The sequence below is a fragment of the Homo sapiens genome, chromosome 6 (assembly GCF_000001405.40).
Source record: "Homo sapiens chromosome 6, GRCh38.p14 Primary Assembly".
Lineage (NCBI taxonomy): Eukaryota > Metazoa > Chordata > Mammalia > Primates > Hominidae > Homo > Homo sapiens.
The window spans coordinates 162,484,463-162,501,034 of NC_000006.12; the positions used below are offsets into that span (position 1 = coordinate 162,484,463).

General features: G+C 41.3%; 1 protein-coding gene across 5 annotated transcripts in view, besides 2 other annotated features; it reads right to left on the reverse strand.

Moving 5' to 3' along the window:
* The window catches only part of PRKN (parkin RBR E3 ubiquitin protein ligase), a 1,380,350-nt gene that overhangs the window by 1,137,046 nt on the left and 226,732 nt on the right, over positions 1-16,572 (reverse strand). The window lies entirely within an intron of this gene.
* Positions 3,877-4,378: an enhancer, noted in NCBI's record as "NANOG hESC enhancer chr6:162909371-162909872 (GRCh37/hg19 assembly coordinates)". NCBI's record gives its function as "activates a minimal SCP1, AML or CMV promoter by ChIP-STARR-seq in naive H9 embryonic stem cells {active_cell/tissue: H9 hESC(naive)}" and the evidence as "EXISTENCE:reporter gene assay evidence [ECO:0000049][PMID:30033119]".
* Positions 4,194-4,243: a silencer, noted in NCBI's record as "silent region_17767". NCBI's record gives its function as "represses an Ori minimal core promoter by ATAC-STARR-seq in GM12878 lymphoblastoid cells {active_cell/tissue: GM12878}" and the evidence as "EXISTENCE:reporter gene assay evidence [ECO:0000049][PMID:35858748]".

The window sequence follows — 16,572 nt, forward strand, 5'->3', positions numbered from 1 at the left end:
TGGACTGACTTTTGGCTTGAGTATCCAGATAAACAATGTTGGCATCTGTTGAGATGGGTATGACTGAGTTACAAACAGCTTAGCAGGTGTAAGAAGACAAAAACAAGAATTCTGTTTGGGACACATTAACGTAGAGATGTTTGTTAGCCTTCCGAATCAAGAGAGTAACAGTACATCGGAGTCCATAAACGTGCCTACTGAGATCAACAGTGCTTTTAATTTGCGGTTCTTCAGCTGCAGTGAGACGGGGCATGCTTCTTAGGAGTCCTGGTCATTGTGATGTATAACACTGTGACTATCTGTTCATCATGTTTGCTCATTTGCCTATTGGGCATTTTGTTCCTTATTATTTGTAAGTGCTGTTAGCATATTCAAGAAAATTGGCCCTTTTATCACTTACATTAAATGGTTTTCTTCAGTTCATCAATTTTACTTTTACATTGTTTATATCATTTTCCCTAGAGGAACTCTAAATTTTTATGTGGTCATATTTACTAGTTTTTCTATGGCCTGTGGCATATATTCTTTTCATAATCAGGAAAAACAAAGACAAATCTCATCAGTAATTATTAATGTGAATGTAAATTCTATAACATAAAAAATACATTTTATATAATTTCAGAAGTTTTGTAGTACTTACACAAGTGTTGAGGGCATTCATTCGTCACTTTTGTAGTTAACCCACTGGAATATCTTTAATAAAGTAATAGGATTTTTCTTTATTCCTTAGAAAAATTGGATATTTAGGGATATTCTTCAATTCAAAGCTCATGATCAACTAAGGATTCTTTAGAGGAATGGTACGTATTATTTTTTACTTACAGCATTAAAACTCAGCTAGAGATAACAATTGTGTTTGCATAGCTTATTTTTAAAACATGTGGGCACAGTGACTTTGTGCAATTATTTTAGAAAACACCAAAGTAGTATGAGAGACACTGCTATTTTTTAAATGCTACTCAGCACAACTAATGACTTATAAAATAGGTAATTATTTCCTTTGAGGTCAGAAGTAGACTTAAATGTTACAGCAGAAAGCCAAAATAAATGTGATTGGTTTTTCTCAAAATAGTAAATTAGCACTTGACTCCCACCTGCACACTGGTATTTATCTTCCTCTCCACAACTAGTAACTCAATTTGATGCAGTAGCAGGGTACTGGGATGCCACACGTGGTTTAACTCACCAAGGAGACAGCTGCTTTGTACTGACACCCACTACACTTGTCTTTACCCCAACAACTGTTCACATTAATCTGAGTTAACTACCCTTTGGAGCAACCTGTTCAATCTCAGTTAGTCGCCTACTGGAGTGCACAGACACAGGTGATTGAGATTTGAGGGAACCACAGTCACACTGACAGAAATGGAATCTCACCCACTGCATCTTCAGTCTGGCTGGAGAACCTGAAGGAGCTAAAGGCTTGTTAGAAAATCCTAAAGAACCATAATCTTCTATCGCATATGCAAAGCCTGTTTTACGTCAAATGATTGTCAGTGGCTATTAAGTTGCATTCACACAAATCGCTAACAAATTAATATCTGACATTAAGAGGGGTTTATTTCAGTCTTTTGTTTTTCTTAAATTATAAAATGAATTGCTCTTTTATTTTTGAAACGTGCATACACTTTAAAAATGAAAGTGACTCCCCTCTCCACCCAACCCCCTCCTAATTCCACTCTCCAGGGGAAAGTGCTGTTAATATTTTGGTGTACAACTTTGCAGGCTCTTAAAGCTGCATTACTACTCATACATATGTATATGTACGTATGTATGAATATGTATGATTGATATATATGATGCACATATCAATCTAGCCTGCTGTTTAAGCAAAAATGGTATCATACAAAAAGTTCTACAATTCCATTTGTACTCAATAATGCACAAAACTCCTTCCGTTAAAGGAACTACAGTTCTACCACATTTTTTTCTTTTGGTGTCATGGTGTACCACACCACGTGCATATCAGAATTTATGTAAACATTCTCCCTTGGGGGGCCATTCCAGTTGTCTCTGTTTTTCATAATTAACAATAATGCATCTGTGAATATGTACCACCATACACTTGCTCATCTATTTGTGAGAGACCGAATATGAGAAGTGAAGTTTCTGGGTCAGAGAACATGTCCACTTGCATTTCTGATAGGTATTATCAAATGCCTTTTCAAATGGTGGTTGTTTTACTTGACATTCTACCAACAAGAAAGACTATTTTATAAGGCTGCATATTCAAAAGTTATTTTAAAAGCCTCATTACATGTAAGACACCATATGGAGCATGTCACAAGATAAACACATCAGTACTCTCATATAAAAGTAGATTTTGGCCAGGCGTGGTGGCTCATGCCTGTAATACCAGCATATTGGGAGGCCGAGGTGGGTGGATCACCTGAGGTCAGGAGTTCAAGACCAGCCTGACCAACATGGTGAAATCCCATCTCTACTAAAAACACAAAAATTAGCCGGGCGTGGTAGTGCATACCTGTAATCACAGCTACTCGGGAGGCTGAGGCAGGAGAATCATTTGAACCTAGGAGGCAGAGGTTGCAGTGAGCCAAGATCGCACCATTGCACTCCAGCCTGGGCAATAGAGTGAGACTCTAGTCTCAAAAAAAAAGAAAAGAAAAGTAGATTTTAAGGAAAAAAACGCATAATCACCTACTAAGAAGGTCTAGAAAGTGTGATTAACTCTTTAAAATCTAATAAGATATGAACTCTACCTCCTTGACCACCCAGTGTCTAAAGGGTTATTCCTGGGGTCAGCTTTGCAGAAAGTGCTTCCTTATGGAGTGGTTGTTAGTTGACTTTGCCAGACAGCCTCTGCGTTTTCATTCTCTAACGGAGGCTGGCAAGACTTTGTATAGAGATAGAAACACCAATTCTAGTTTGTTCCTTGAGAAGGAAGGCCAAGTGACTGGTTTTCTGAGGCTGTGTGTATCTCCCAGGCACAAGCCTCTGTCCCCAGGAGAGCCTGCACGCGTGGCAGGACACATTTGTGGTGGGGCTTTTTACGCTCCCTGTCATCACTTTTTATGATTTTCTCAGTAATTCCTTTTCTTTACTGAGGAAATGAACACACATAAAACTGGAAAAACGAGCAAAGAATTACATAAAATCTACACAAGGACTTCCTGGCAAAAAGCTTCACTAACATAATAGATTTAAGTTCTTACAATCAGTGGTTCCCAGGCCTTTGAATTTCATGGACCAGAATTTTTTTTTTAAGTGAAGAATTCAACATAGAAACAACTATTATTTGTTCTTTAAAAACATTTTTGAAAACCTCACTCAAACAAATAACCTAGCAAAACTGTTTTATAAAATAACGCCTGGCTGGGTATGAGGACTCATGCCTCTAATCCCAACACTTTGGGAGGCCAAGGTGGGAGGATCACTTGAGGCCAAGAGTTCCAGACCAGCCTGTGCAACAAAGTGCGACCCCCATCTCTACTTTCAAAAAATAATAAAATTAAATTAAAATAATGGGTATTTTAACACCAAAAAGAAGAGTTTTGCCTAGACAGCCTCCCAGACATAAGAACAGACACTACATCCACCATTTCCCTTTTTTTTTTTTTTTTTTTTTTTTTGGCGGAGGGTTAAACACTCACTAATATTTAGGAATTAGTCCTCTGCAATTTTTCACTTGTCCTGATAAAATCCAGATTTTACAAAGTTTAAACACCACAAAAATCACAGGGCTGTCTATAGAAGGAAGAATTCCTGTTACTCTTAGCTGAATATTCCCAATAATTCTTTGACTTTCTTTCTTTGTCTTATCAAACCAATGAGAATCTCCAGGCATGCATGTTTTAGGTCAAATTAAGGAAACGCCCCTATGCCTGATCCTATTTGGAATTTCCATTTTTACTCATGTATGTCCCACGACAATAAAATTATTGAAAAGCAAGTGCCACCAGTGTGGATGCATGGTCTCCACAAATCCACTCTTCACTGAGGAGATTTCCCCACATCCACTAAGGTGTGGGTCGCCTCCAGCTGCAGCGCCATACCTCATGAGATCAGCAGAGCTCAGGCTGAATAGCATTCCTCCTTTCCTCCTCTCTACTCACACTTCCTCAGAGGCTATCCAGCATGATAATGAAGAACACAGGTGGTGGGGTCAGACAGCCACTGACTACCTCTGTCACTCTGGATGGGTGACCGTCCTCTCTGAGTATCACTTCCTCCTCTGTAAATGAGAACAATACTGCTCACTGCATAGGGCTGCTTGTGTGAGAACAGCACGAGCAGGCCCACATGGTGTTGGAAAAGGCCCCGACGCATAGCAAGGGACAAATAGTGCTGGTGATTGACACTAGCCCCTGCCAGGCTCTTGGGCATTAGGAATCCATAGTCAAGCAATGAAAGGGTCCTGCCCTCATGGAGTTTACACTCTAGCAGGAAAGACAAATATTTAATAATCATGCAAACTGAAATTAGAACTCTGATAGGTGATACTAAGAAGGGGGTAAAGGTGTTCCTGAAGCCTGGGGTCTGGGTCTGTCTGTGGAGATCCAGGATAAGCCACCACTCCTGAAACTTTAAAGATGAGTAGGAGTTAACAATTTGGCACAGGGAGAAAGGAGCAGGGGTCCAGGGAGAAGGAGCTCACCCTTCCTTCCTTCCTTCCTTCCTCTTCCTTTTTCCTAAATTGTAAATGTCACCTACTCTAAATAAGGCAGTGTCTTAAAGAACAACCTAATAATCTATGTACTGGTATAAACCTTAAACAAAGTTCAAATTTACTCCAATGCACAAAAATTCAGTTAATCTCTATGAAACAATCAAGGATGGCATTATATTCTAGAATTCTTCTGCTGGCCCTCCTCCAAAGCGACATATGAAAAGCTGAAGCAGCATACATTTAGCTTGTTTCACAGAAGAATACTTATCTTCTAAGTGCACAAAGTAAAACATTAGAAAGGGATTCAGTACAGAATATTAAAACTCTGTATTTTTCAACTGCCTGCACTGAGGAAAGATAGAAAATCTATCCCACAAAAAAGTATGAGTTTGGACCAGTTTGTTTAAATTTAACAAAACAAAGTTCATCATGGCTGATGAATCAATCTTTGTTTTGAGTCCCTATTTTTACGCAAAACCGCACTTTGCCCGACAGCATGAGCTACTTGTGAAATAAACACTTCAAGCCTCAAATTTCAAAGGAGTTATAAGTATGTTGGGGGCAGCAATGCAGGAATAACTTTCCCACCCCCTGGTCACTATCAACTTGGAGAAAAATTATTTCCAATTTGCCTTCTACTTTGTACCCTTGTGGTGTCTCAGATTTCACAGTCCCTGAAGGATGTGCTGTCCGTGCACTCACAAACACCCCACTCTGGCCATCTCCACTTTGCTACAGATCACAGTCTCTTTGCTTCCAGTAACTTTTCTCTATGTTCCAGGGTCACAACCCCTCCTCATTATCCCCAATTTCCTTGGGGTAAATTTCTAAGAAGTGTCTTTATACCTTAAATCCTTGTTTCTTTTTAAAGCAAGAAAATGCTGGCATGAGGTCAGATGCAAATCACTTTGCATCCTCAAAGCAACTAAATATTGTCCCATTGTAGAGATGGGATGTCCTTACCATAGTGACAGTGACAGCATACTCTCTCATGGCTCCCTGCAGAGTCCTTGGAAGCGATGTGACAGGTTTTCATAAAGAGGGAAGAGAAAAGGACTTAAAACACTGCCTGCAGGAGCCTCTACACCCTTATTACTTTCTGGGTTATTGCCTCATGAGGAAAAAGAAATTCAATCATTTGTCGGGGGGAAAAAGTGTGCTTTTTCTTTTCAAAGTCTACCCTTTTATGAAATATTTAAGCAAACATTTATTTACTTCTAAACCACCAGGAAAAGAAAGAAAAGCAACCAACATTTAACTTCACAGAAGAAATAAACATTTCACTAACTGTTATACCTTTAAATTTGTTTTGATATACAGAAGATCATGAATACAGTCATCTATATTTTCCTAGTCAGTGCAACAAAAAATAACACTCACTAATAGATCAGAAAATGGAGATGACAACACTTAATTCCAGAATCCAGGAATTTTTTCCCATAGTTTCCTGTAATCCCTTTAAGACTCTAAACAAAGTATTCTACCTTTTTTCTTTAAGAAAACAAAACGAATTTCATGCTTATTTGATATTTCTAATAAATGATTTTAATAATAGACTAAGCCAAAAAGGAAGCTGGTCTATATTCATTAAGAAAAATGCAACCATAATCACATTTCGTGAATGGACAACTTTCACATATCCACACTCTCAATGCCTACAAAGTTTAAATGGAAAGATGGATCGTTCAGGAAAAGCGTTGAGAGCAGCATCCAGACCTCAGCACTGCCCTCACACTGAGCCCTTCAAAAGGACGGCACGAGGGGCCAGGTGCAGTGGCTCATGCCTGTAATCCCAGCACTTTGGGAAGCCAAGGAGGGTGGATCACTTGAGGCCAGAAGCTCGAGGCCACCCTGGCCAACATGGCAAAACCTGGTGTCTACTAAAAATACAAAAATTAGCTGGGCGTGGAGGCTGAAGCAGGAGAATCGCTTGAACCCAGGAGGCGGGGGTTGTGGTGATCTCAGATCGCAGCACTGCACTCCAGCCTGGGTGACAAGAGTGAAACTCTGTCTCAGAAAAAAAAAAAAAAATTAGCCAGGTCTGGTGACACATGCCTGTAGTCCCAGCTGCTAGGGAGGCTGAGGCACACGATTCATTTGAACCCAGGAGATGGAGGCTGCAGTGAGCTGAGATTGCACCACTGCACTCCAGCCTGGGCAACAGAATGAGACTCTGGCTCAAAAAAAAAAAAAAAAACCAACCAACCAAGGATGGCACCAGGGACCACTTTGTAGGGTGTAAACAACAAATTGCTCAGCATAAGAACCATTTTGAAAACACAATGAAGGAAAACCTGAGATCACCATGCTTCACTGGGTCTCCAGGGCCCAGACAGAGGTGACGCACCAGGTGTGCGTGACGACGTCACCCTACAACCTTTAGTCCACCTTCATGCTCCAGCCACTGCCTGCAGCTGCGCCCAGACAGCACCTGACTGCAGTTGCCGTGCCTCACTCACTTTCCGCCTTCATATGCCTCATACACTGCCAGCTCGTGGGACGCCCATGGAGACTGACTTAGCCATCCGGCTCATACACAAGCCTGGGGGAGCAAGGCAGCTGGCTCAGGGGGTCAGGCTTGACTAGGGAGAACCAGTCTTTTGGGCAGATGCCTTTGAGGCCCATTCGTCACAGCTCCTTGGAAGGTCTGCAGCAGGGTCCACACCGGGTAGCTTGTTGAGGTGACCAGCCGCACAATCAGGGACTTCCGGGCATGGCTCCATGTCTTGATAACATGCCAGTGGCTAGAACACTCCTGAGCAAAAGTATCCTGTCAGCAGATCACGTGTTCCCTGAGAAATAAACTGCTGCTGAGAAGCTACTATTAATAACAGATGGCGGACAGTTTGCTGTGATACCTGGACTGAGTACCTCGGTGCCTCTGCTGTCTCTGGGCCATCTGGATTTCTAGGTGTGACTGTGGCAGACGTGTCTCGGGTGCAGAGGAAATGGAAACAAGATGGTCCTGCTTCTGAACTCGGCCTCATGCCCTCATGCCCCAAGTCTGAAGTTCTTTTGGTCTCCTCTTCTGTACTTCTGGAAGCTTCCACTAGTCTCTTACCATGCTCACATGAACTAAAAGCCAGATGCCTAAATGACTAACATGATAAAAGATTGGCCTGTAAGGCCACAGTGACAAATGTCACCTGAAAGACGAAGGGGAAATAATTTGCATTGAAGGGTGCGCTTGCTTATCCTCACCCCTTGGCTCATCCAAGTAGCAGAAGAGTTTGGGTTGCATGAAGCTTCCAACCATTCAATGCAGGCTGAGCTCCACAGCAGTGCCTAGGGGAGCACAGCTCAGATTGTGCTGAGAGCCACCTCTCTTGTCTCACAGGTCCCATCCCTGGGCTGAGGCTCTTTATCGAGGAAAGAAAGAAATGTCCTGTCTGGCCTCACACACCTGAAAGTCGAGAAGCAGAAGAATGGCCGGGTGCAGTGGCTCACACTTGTAATTCCAGCACTTTGGGAGGCCGAGGCAGGTGGATTGCCTGAGGTCAGGAGGTCCAGACCAGCCTGGCATGGCCAACATGGTGAAACCCCCTCTCTACTAAAAAATACAAAAATTAGCCAGGTGTGGGGCCGGGCGCGGTGGCTCACGCCTGTAATCCCAGCACTTTGGGAGGCCAAGGTGGGTGGATCAGGAGGTCAGGAGATCCAGACCATACTGACTAACACAGTGAAACTCTGTCTCTACTAAAAAATACAAAAAAATTAGCCAGGTGTGGTGACACATGCCTGTAGTCCCAGCTACCCAGGAGGCTAAGGCAGGAGAATTGCTTGAACCCGGGAGGCGGAGGTTGTAGTGAGCTGAGATCCCGCCACTGCACTCCAGCCTGGGCAACAGAGCGAGACTTTGTCTCAAACAAAAAAAAAAAAAAAAAAAAAGAAGCAGAAGAACATGTCTCATGCACACTTGTGCTTCCTGCCCCCTCCCACACCCAAGGGAGGAGGATGGTGCTCATGCAGAAGACATGTAATCTCTTCTTCCAGAGTTTTTTGTTTTATACCAGCCTATCTCTTACTTCCCTTGTTCGGCCAGCAGGATAAAAATCAATGGACATTTCTATCGCCAACCTGCTGCAGCTGCTTCTCAGAACCACCATCCCTTTATGTAGAGGAAGAGAGAGGCAATTTAAAATGGAAAAGGGAGAACTGCGAAGAGGAAGGACCAAAGGTGACTTCTCCCTTTATCCTTCCTGAAGGCCAAAGGTTGGAGACAGTAAAAGGAAACTTTGCTGGGTTTGTAGAGGCAAAGAGGGATATTATGGACTTGAAAGAACTTTTCAGATGCGGTTGGTTACAAGAATGAAAATCAGGCAGCAATGAGCCAAGGACACTCAGCAATGCCATCAGCAGTACTTAATTCCACAAATAGAGTTATCAGGTGACTATAAGGTACTCAGAGAAAAGGTTCATATTTTAGATATAAAAAGATTTATCTCTTGGGTCTAAGAAACTACATATTTCAAAGAGAAGAATAATCAGCTTATAACTAAGAAGACAGACTCAAGAAATATGAGCAGTGAAGAAGATAAATGGGGAATACTGAAAGTTTTTTGAATTTGCATATTTAAGCTGGTGATAAGAAAATAAGAATTGTGTTATTTCATCCTTTGACGAAAGCGTCCATGCATGACCACTCCTTCCATAAGGAAGCCCTGGTACACACAGAGCCTAGATTATCCACTGATAACCCCACACCATCTCAACGAAGCTAAATAAAGATGGAGAAGAAGGGGCTTTCCACCTCTCACCAGCTGGCCTCATCCAGTGTCTTCAGGAAAACCAGCCTCCTAGGCTTTGACTGGACTTCCCCATTTGTGAGATGAGGGAGAAAACTCAATGACCTCTATATCCTCTTCCCACTCTGCAATGTGGTGACTGAATCGCATGATGGATGATTACATGGCCTTTACCCAATCCCCTCCTTACTGTTACTGTCCATCTATTTCGTCTTTCCTGCCTCATTGTGGAGATGCTGCAATGTGCCACTGTGGCTGTCTGGACTACATTTCCCAGAATCCCATTCTCTCCATGTCTCCCATTGTGGTGCACTATAAATAAGAGAGGTTCTTAGGTGGGATCTGGAAGATGGGCTGAAGCAGCCACCCTTCATTCTGCAGCTTACACAGGCTGTTGTCATCTACAGCCTGGGCGTTGGCATCAGGCAACAGCTGGGCCTGCAGCTGTGCTGTGTCCCCTGGCCTTTCCTCAACATCTCTGACCCAGGGCCAGGTGTGCTTGTTTAGCACCCTGGTGGGGAACCCTGGCTTCTGCAAGACCCCAGTAAGCCCAGAGGCAACAACAGTGACACAAGTTCCAGCATCAGGGTTGAGATTTTCTTGCTCTCCCCCACTTCATATCAACCTTCTCTTCTCCAGAGCCTGCCATGTGGACTTCAAGCTCCAGCATCCAATGTGAGACAACAGCCTTATAAACACTGCTTGATCAGCCCTCACAATTGCAGAAGGTCAAATCCCTATAACAAAGCTGCTTGTATATATGATCAGACATATGTGGGTTGGAACCTTGAATAAACCTCTTAAATGGGGATTGTAATTGTGAAGATCTCATAGGATCACTGGGTGGTTTAAGGGAGATAGTGAATGTAAAGTTGGCATGGAATGCACAGTAAATACTGTGTTATTATTAACTAAAAATCCCAGTTACCCTGCTGAGAAAATCTCTCTCATTTTTTCATAGCTGTAGAATCAAGCGAAGTAGGCATTTTGCCTATGTCGTACCAGGGACTAAGCTAACAGAACCCTGGCTCCACTCTAAACCTAAGAGAATCTAATCCTATTTTTATTAGAGACCAGAACATAGTAGCTAACAAGTACTTAACCTCTCCCTCCAAGGAAATGATGGCGAAGCCAAAAAGAACGATACCAAACTGGAAACCATTGATTTCAGTAAGATATTTCACTGTCACTGAAGGAAAACATCATTTTAATGGTGGAGTTTGATATCCACATTAAAAGACAGTTAATCGAGAGACATCATACAATAGAGCTATTTGGGTAGAGTACTTGGTGAACTGAAAGCCTAATACATAAATTTTCCTCTTTCAGCTCTTACTAATGAAAAAAGTTATTCAAAGAAGTATTTGAGATGGACTTAAATATCAAAACCATACTTCTTACTTTTTTAAACTACTTAATACATATCGTGTTCCAAAAAGATCTAAGTATACAAAATTAGAGTTTTTCTCATCAGAGAATTAAATTTAAGTCCATCAAGAAACCTCAGGCTTTCTGATCTGTACAGCACTTTTTGGTCTTTTTATTTCAGTCTCAAATATTTTGAAATGGTATTAAGTTGTGTCCAAATGACACAGTGGGCCAGTGGCTGGGGGAGGGAGGTGAGACCTGAATGCCAAGAGCTTGGGGAACCATTGTTTCCCACTCTATTCTGATGTCCAAGCTGACACCCACAGCCCACTGACTGTCTCACCTCCAGTGTGCCGTGTGAGCCACCTGGCACACACACACTTCAAAGCCAGATCTCAGTGTGATACCTAAAGAGCAAACGTCATCTTGGTCCTCAGAGCCATGAGCCCTTGCAGATTCTCTGCCAGTGTCATCTTTCTTTCTCACTGTCACTCAATTTTAAAACACTGCCGCCAAGTGTTGTTCATCTTTCCCTGATGGCACTCAGCACCATCACCGACGTCCACAGGTGCTTCCAGACACATCTCCACTGTGCCTCCAGCCTCCTCACCAGGTTCTCACCATCCCACACCTGGACAGCCTGTGACACAGCCGGTCCGGGGTCACCAACTCCTGCCCCCTTTCCATACATTCATTCACATATGATCTAGTCCCCTCCCACATACACTTCACTATACTATCTTTCACTATATAAACCTTTAATGTGGCCAGGTGCGGTGGCTCACAGCACTTTGGAAGGCCAAGGTGGGTGGATCACTTGAGGTCAGGAGTTTGAGACCAGCCTGGCCAACATGGTGAAACCCTGTCTCTATTAAAAATACAAAAATAGTCAGGCATGGTGGCGAGCACCTGTAATCCCAGCTACTCAGGAGGCTGAGGCAGGAAAACAGCTTGAACCCCAAAGGTGGATGTTGCAGTGAGCCAAGATCACATAATTGCATTCCAACCTGGGCAATAGAGCGAGACTCAGTCTCGGGGGAAAAAAAAGAAAGAAAAAAACAGTATAGATTAAAATGATTGATTGTAGAGAATTCTGCTGGTAGAAAAGTAAATTTATACTTGCATGAGTAACTTCTACATTCTTTGTAATGGATTTTACATAATAGGAGCAGGTATTTTGTGACAGTAATAGGCCCACTCAAGCAGCTGGATATACAGCTAACTCTTTATCACTGTTAGGGCTGAAATGAAACTTGGTTTACTTCTTACATGGAAAAAAAGTCCTTTTCCCAAATATCAAATATATAAACTTAGATTCATTTAGAAAAGTTGACTCCTCAGTAGATAATAAATGTCTCAGATGAAACAAATCTCTCTCTCTCTCCTTAAACACATACAGAATAGGAAAGGCTTATACACATGCGTGCAAATTCTGGCTCCTCGCAATGATCCTGAGTGTGTTATTTTCCATTTAAGCCTTGGTTTTTCTCCTTCTAAAAATGGAAGCAATGATATCTATGTGACAAAGCTGTAGAGAAGATTAAATTAGACATAATAAGTGCCTAGCAGAAAAGAGACACTTTAGACGCAATTGATAAATTGTAGCCATAATTATGTATATGAAATACTTGTAACTATAAGCCCATTTTCCATGTTGTTTATTCCTTCAAGGCTACACTTGTATTTGAATGTCTATCTGCCACTGTCCTGGTTTACAGCAAAATCACCTTATAATGAAGAAAGAGGCTGCCATGTTTCGAAACCTCCTTTAGGTGGAATCCAATGGGAAATAACTTATAAATACATATTTTTATTGTATATGTAACAGTATATTTTTAGATTTATCTTAGTGATGTTGTAATGGCTAATTGTATAAATTCTGAATCAGCCTCACTTTTCCTTTTAACTCAGTTCATATATCAACTCTTCAGCCAATGGAAATCTCCTTTATAGGGTGTGGCATAACCATTAACCTCCCTTTGTGCCCCATGTAATTTGACTATAATAAATTTCACTATACTGTCACTGCTTTGTGCATAGTAGATGCTCAGTGAATATTCAGTGAATTTAAACTTGGCAAGTAGTCAAAGAGAAAGAAATTATTTTAAGTAACTAAACTTAACAAAACACCTAACTACGCTTCCGGAAATAGGTAAAAGAACTAAAGATTACATAAAGTATCAGGTGTTAGAAGTCTAGAAAAACATAATTCTCCAAATTGTGATTGTCAAAATGTGAGCCCAGAGATAAATTCCCATGCCTTTGCATATGAGCAAATTGGCTCTACAATTTTTACAAAAGAACTATGGCTCTGCACTGTTGGACTCAAACGCCCTTTGTGCTGCATTTTCATTAATTCAAAACACTTAGAATCATTTTGCAGAGCAGCTCATTTTGTGCAGCAGAGGGAGGCCATGAATTATCTGTTGTGCCTGAATAAAGCTCTGCAATGTTGAGCCGTGTCTTTGCTGAGTCTAGGCGCCTCCACTTCTTACATGCCATGCGAATGACACAGTTTGAAAAACACAACCAAATGTACACAGTATTCCATCTTCTACGAAAAGCATAAGGGGGGAGGAGGAAAAGAGGTTGGTTAATGGAAGTGAGTATAGATAGAAGGAATATGTTCTAGTTTTCAATAGCACAGCAGAATTCCTATAGTTAACAATCATTTATTGTATATTTCAAAATAGCTAGAAGATTTGAAATGTTCCCAACACAAAGAAATTATAAATGTTTGAAGTGGTGGATATTCTAAATGCCCTGATTTGGTCATTACATGTTGTATGCATGTAACAAAATATCACATGTACCCATAAATAAGTACAATTGTTATATGTCTATTTAAAAAAGGAAAAAAACACCATTTAAATAGAAAACAACATAAAAAGAATGTATACATCCTTTACATTGATGAGATCTCTAAACCAGTTGTGTTCAGTTCCACCTTTGAACCCTCAGAACAAGGGATTTGTGCTTATTGCTACTTACTTGACTCTACCTGGTGTTCAGTCTATTGTGTACAAGTCTCCTGTACATCTTATCCTTATACCCAACTCTATAAATTGTAAGCTCCCTGAAGAACGGAGCTTTGTCCTGTCCTTCCTGACACAGGCAACACTCAACATTTGATGTCTATCTAGTCTACGTAACTATCTCTTCCAGCAGAATCATTTTTTTTCTTTCTTTCCTTTTTTTTTTTTTTTTTTTTTTGAGATGGAGTTTCTTTCCTTTTTCTTTTTTTTTTTTTTTTTTTTTTTGAGATGGAGTTTCGCTCTTGTTGCCCAGGCTGGAGTGCAATGGTGCGATCTCGGTTGACTGCAACCTCTGCCTCCTGGGTTCAAGCGATTGTCCTGCCTCAGCCTCCTGAGTAGCTGGGATTACAGGTGTGCACCACCACGCCTGGCTAATTTTGTATTTTTAGTAGAGATGGGGTTTCTCCATGTTGGTCAGGCTTCTTTTTAGAACAGTCCATAAACTGCCGCCTTTAAGTGACTGAATCCTGGAAATAAGTGTCAAAAAACCTAATGTGTATCCATGAAAGTATTACAGTAAATAACATGTAATAATGTGTATATGAGAAAGAAATTGTATTATTCTGTAAGGTAAAATGAGGTTTATGAGAATTGGACAGTAGCCGTTAACTGCTGTTTTATTATTTATCCTTCATGTATAGGCAAGATGCTACTGAAAATGATCATTGTCTAGGTATGACTGAAAAAACAAGCATGTTCATTCATTCGTTTGCTCATCCATTTATTAAACAAATATTTTAATCATTTCAGCAACATGTTTGTGTTGCTGCCAAAGAGAAATTAGATTCTAACATGTTCAACTTAAAAAGACTTCAGTGGCTCCCTGTTGTCTCTGGGAGTAAGTCCAGGTCTTCTGCGGGATACGTAAGTTCTTTCCTGATCTGGCCTCTCCCTGTTTCCCTGTCTTATCTCTCATCACGCCCCTACTTCCACCCTTTATTGTTACTGTCTTGTTTCACACCCTCCATGCCTCTGTAAATCTTGTCTCTGCAAGGAATAGTTTTCTTCTCTCTCCTAACTCCTATATGACCTTAAAGACTTACCTGAGGCAACTCTGTGCCCTGGTAAATCTTTCATATTATTCAAATCTAGAGCAGCTGTTCCTCCTCTAGGTACCCACAGCATCCTGGGCTTTCCTTTGTCATAGCATTTGTCACACCTCTTCAAATCTGTTTCTTTATCTCTCTTGTCCACTAGACTCTTGCAGGCCGTATGATACTCTTATCTGCATGCCCAGTGCCTAGCATGGTACCCAGCAAATTGTAGGCAACCAATACATATTTACTGACGACTGAATAAATGTGGAGACTGGGGCAACTATGACAAAGAGAACAGACAATTAACTGGAATTCAGGAGACCCGGACACTGTCTTCAAAGGTTGAAAGACTTTTGGAAAATTAATCTTTTTGTGCAACTCCTGGCATTAGCTAAGGTGGTTGTCCAAAGCATTCCTTAGCTCTGTGGCTACCTGACATTTTCTAAAAGTGACAAAGTTCTAATGTGTCTCTAGCCGAGAGGAACAGTTACAGTTGGCACTTAAAAACATTATTTGTTTGCTTAGGGAGACATTCTGTATCTTAATTTCAGACTACTTATGACAGGTCTCTGATACAATGTATGGAGTGTCAAATATATCATCTTTTCTAGGTTTTAATAAAAAGAAAACCTTACCAAAAAAAAGGTTGCCTTGACAATATATCTATAGACAATATCTGAATTAATAAACTGACCATTTATTTTCTTTTCTAGTTAAGGATGCCATCTAGAACAAGGACTTGGTCATGACAATTGGAAAGCCATCCAATGGTTCATGGCTCATGGCACTCATATTAGCAAAGGTGGGTTCCTGTCATCCCTACCCTGCCCTTCTCAGCTCAGGTGCACATCTCCTCCCATCACACCAAACAGCCACAAACAGCCTTTCTCTTTTCTTCTTTTTTTTTTTTTTTTTGGTGACAGAGTTTCACTCTGTTACCCAGGCTGGAGTGCAGTGCATGATATCGGCTCACTGCAACCTCCACCTCCTGGGTTCAAGCGATTCTTGTGCCTCAGCCTCCTGAGTAGCTGGGATCACAGGCGCCCGCCACCACGCCCAGCTAATTTTTTGTATTTTTAGTAGAGACGGTGTTTTACATGTTGGCCAGGCTGGTCTTGAACTCCCGACCTCAGGTGATCCACCCGCCTCAGACTCCTAAAGTGCTGGGATTACAGGCGTGAGCCACTGCGCCCGGCCCAAACAGCCATTCTTACTGCACGTCTATATGGTGGAGTTAACTCCATTTCTCAGGAAGACGGACGGAATGAGTATTCTCAACAGATAACAGATTTTCATAGGCTGTGAAACCTTAGTAATTTGAACAATAGAAGAATGACCTAAGTCAGTAGAGTCTCTTTTCTTACAATGGCTTAAGTGCTTTCAGACACAAAGAACTAAATAAGGCATGCTAACAAATAGATTGGCTGGTGAATCCTTATCTTTTTCTTAATGAATACACAATATGTAATTGATATGCTATCTGTATATAACTTGAATGTATTGAAAGAAGGGCCTTAAATGTACCTCAAAAACTATGTTTCTCTAGGTATATTTAATATTATTTCTTAAATACTATTAATTTTATTACTTACATAATAAAGATGTTTTAGGTTGGGTGCAGTGGTTCATGCCTGTAATCCCAACACTTTGGGAGGCTGAGGCAGAAGGACTGCTTGAGGCCGGGAGTTTGAGAACAGCTTGGGCAATATAGCCAGACCCCATCCTTACAAAAAATTTGAAAAACTAGCCAGGCATGGTGT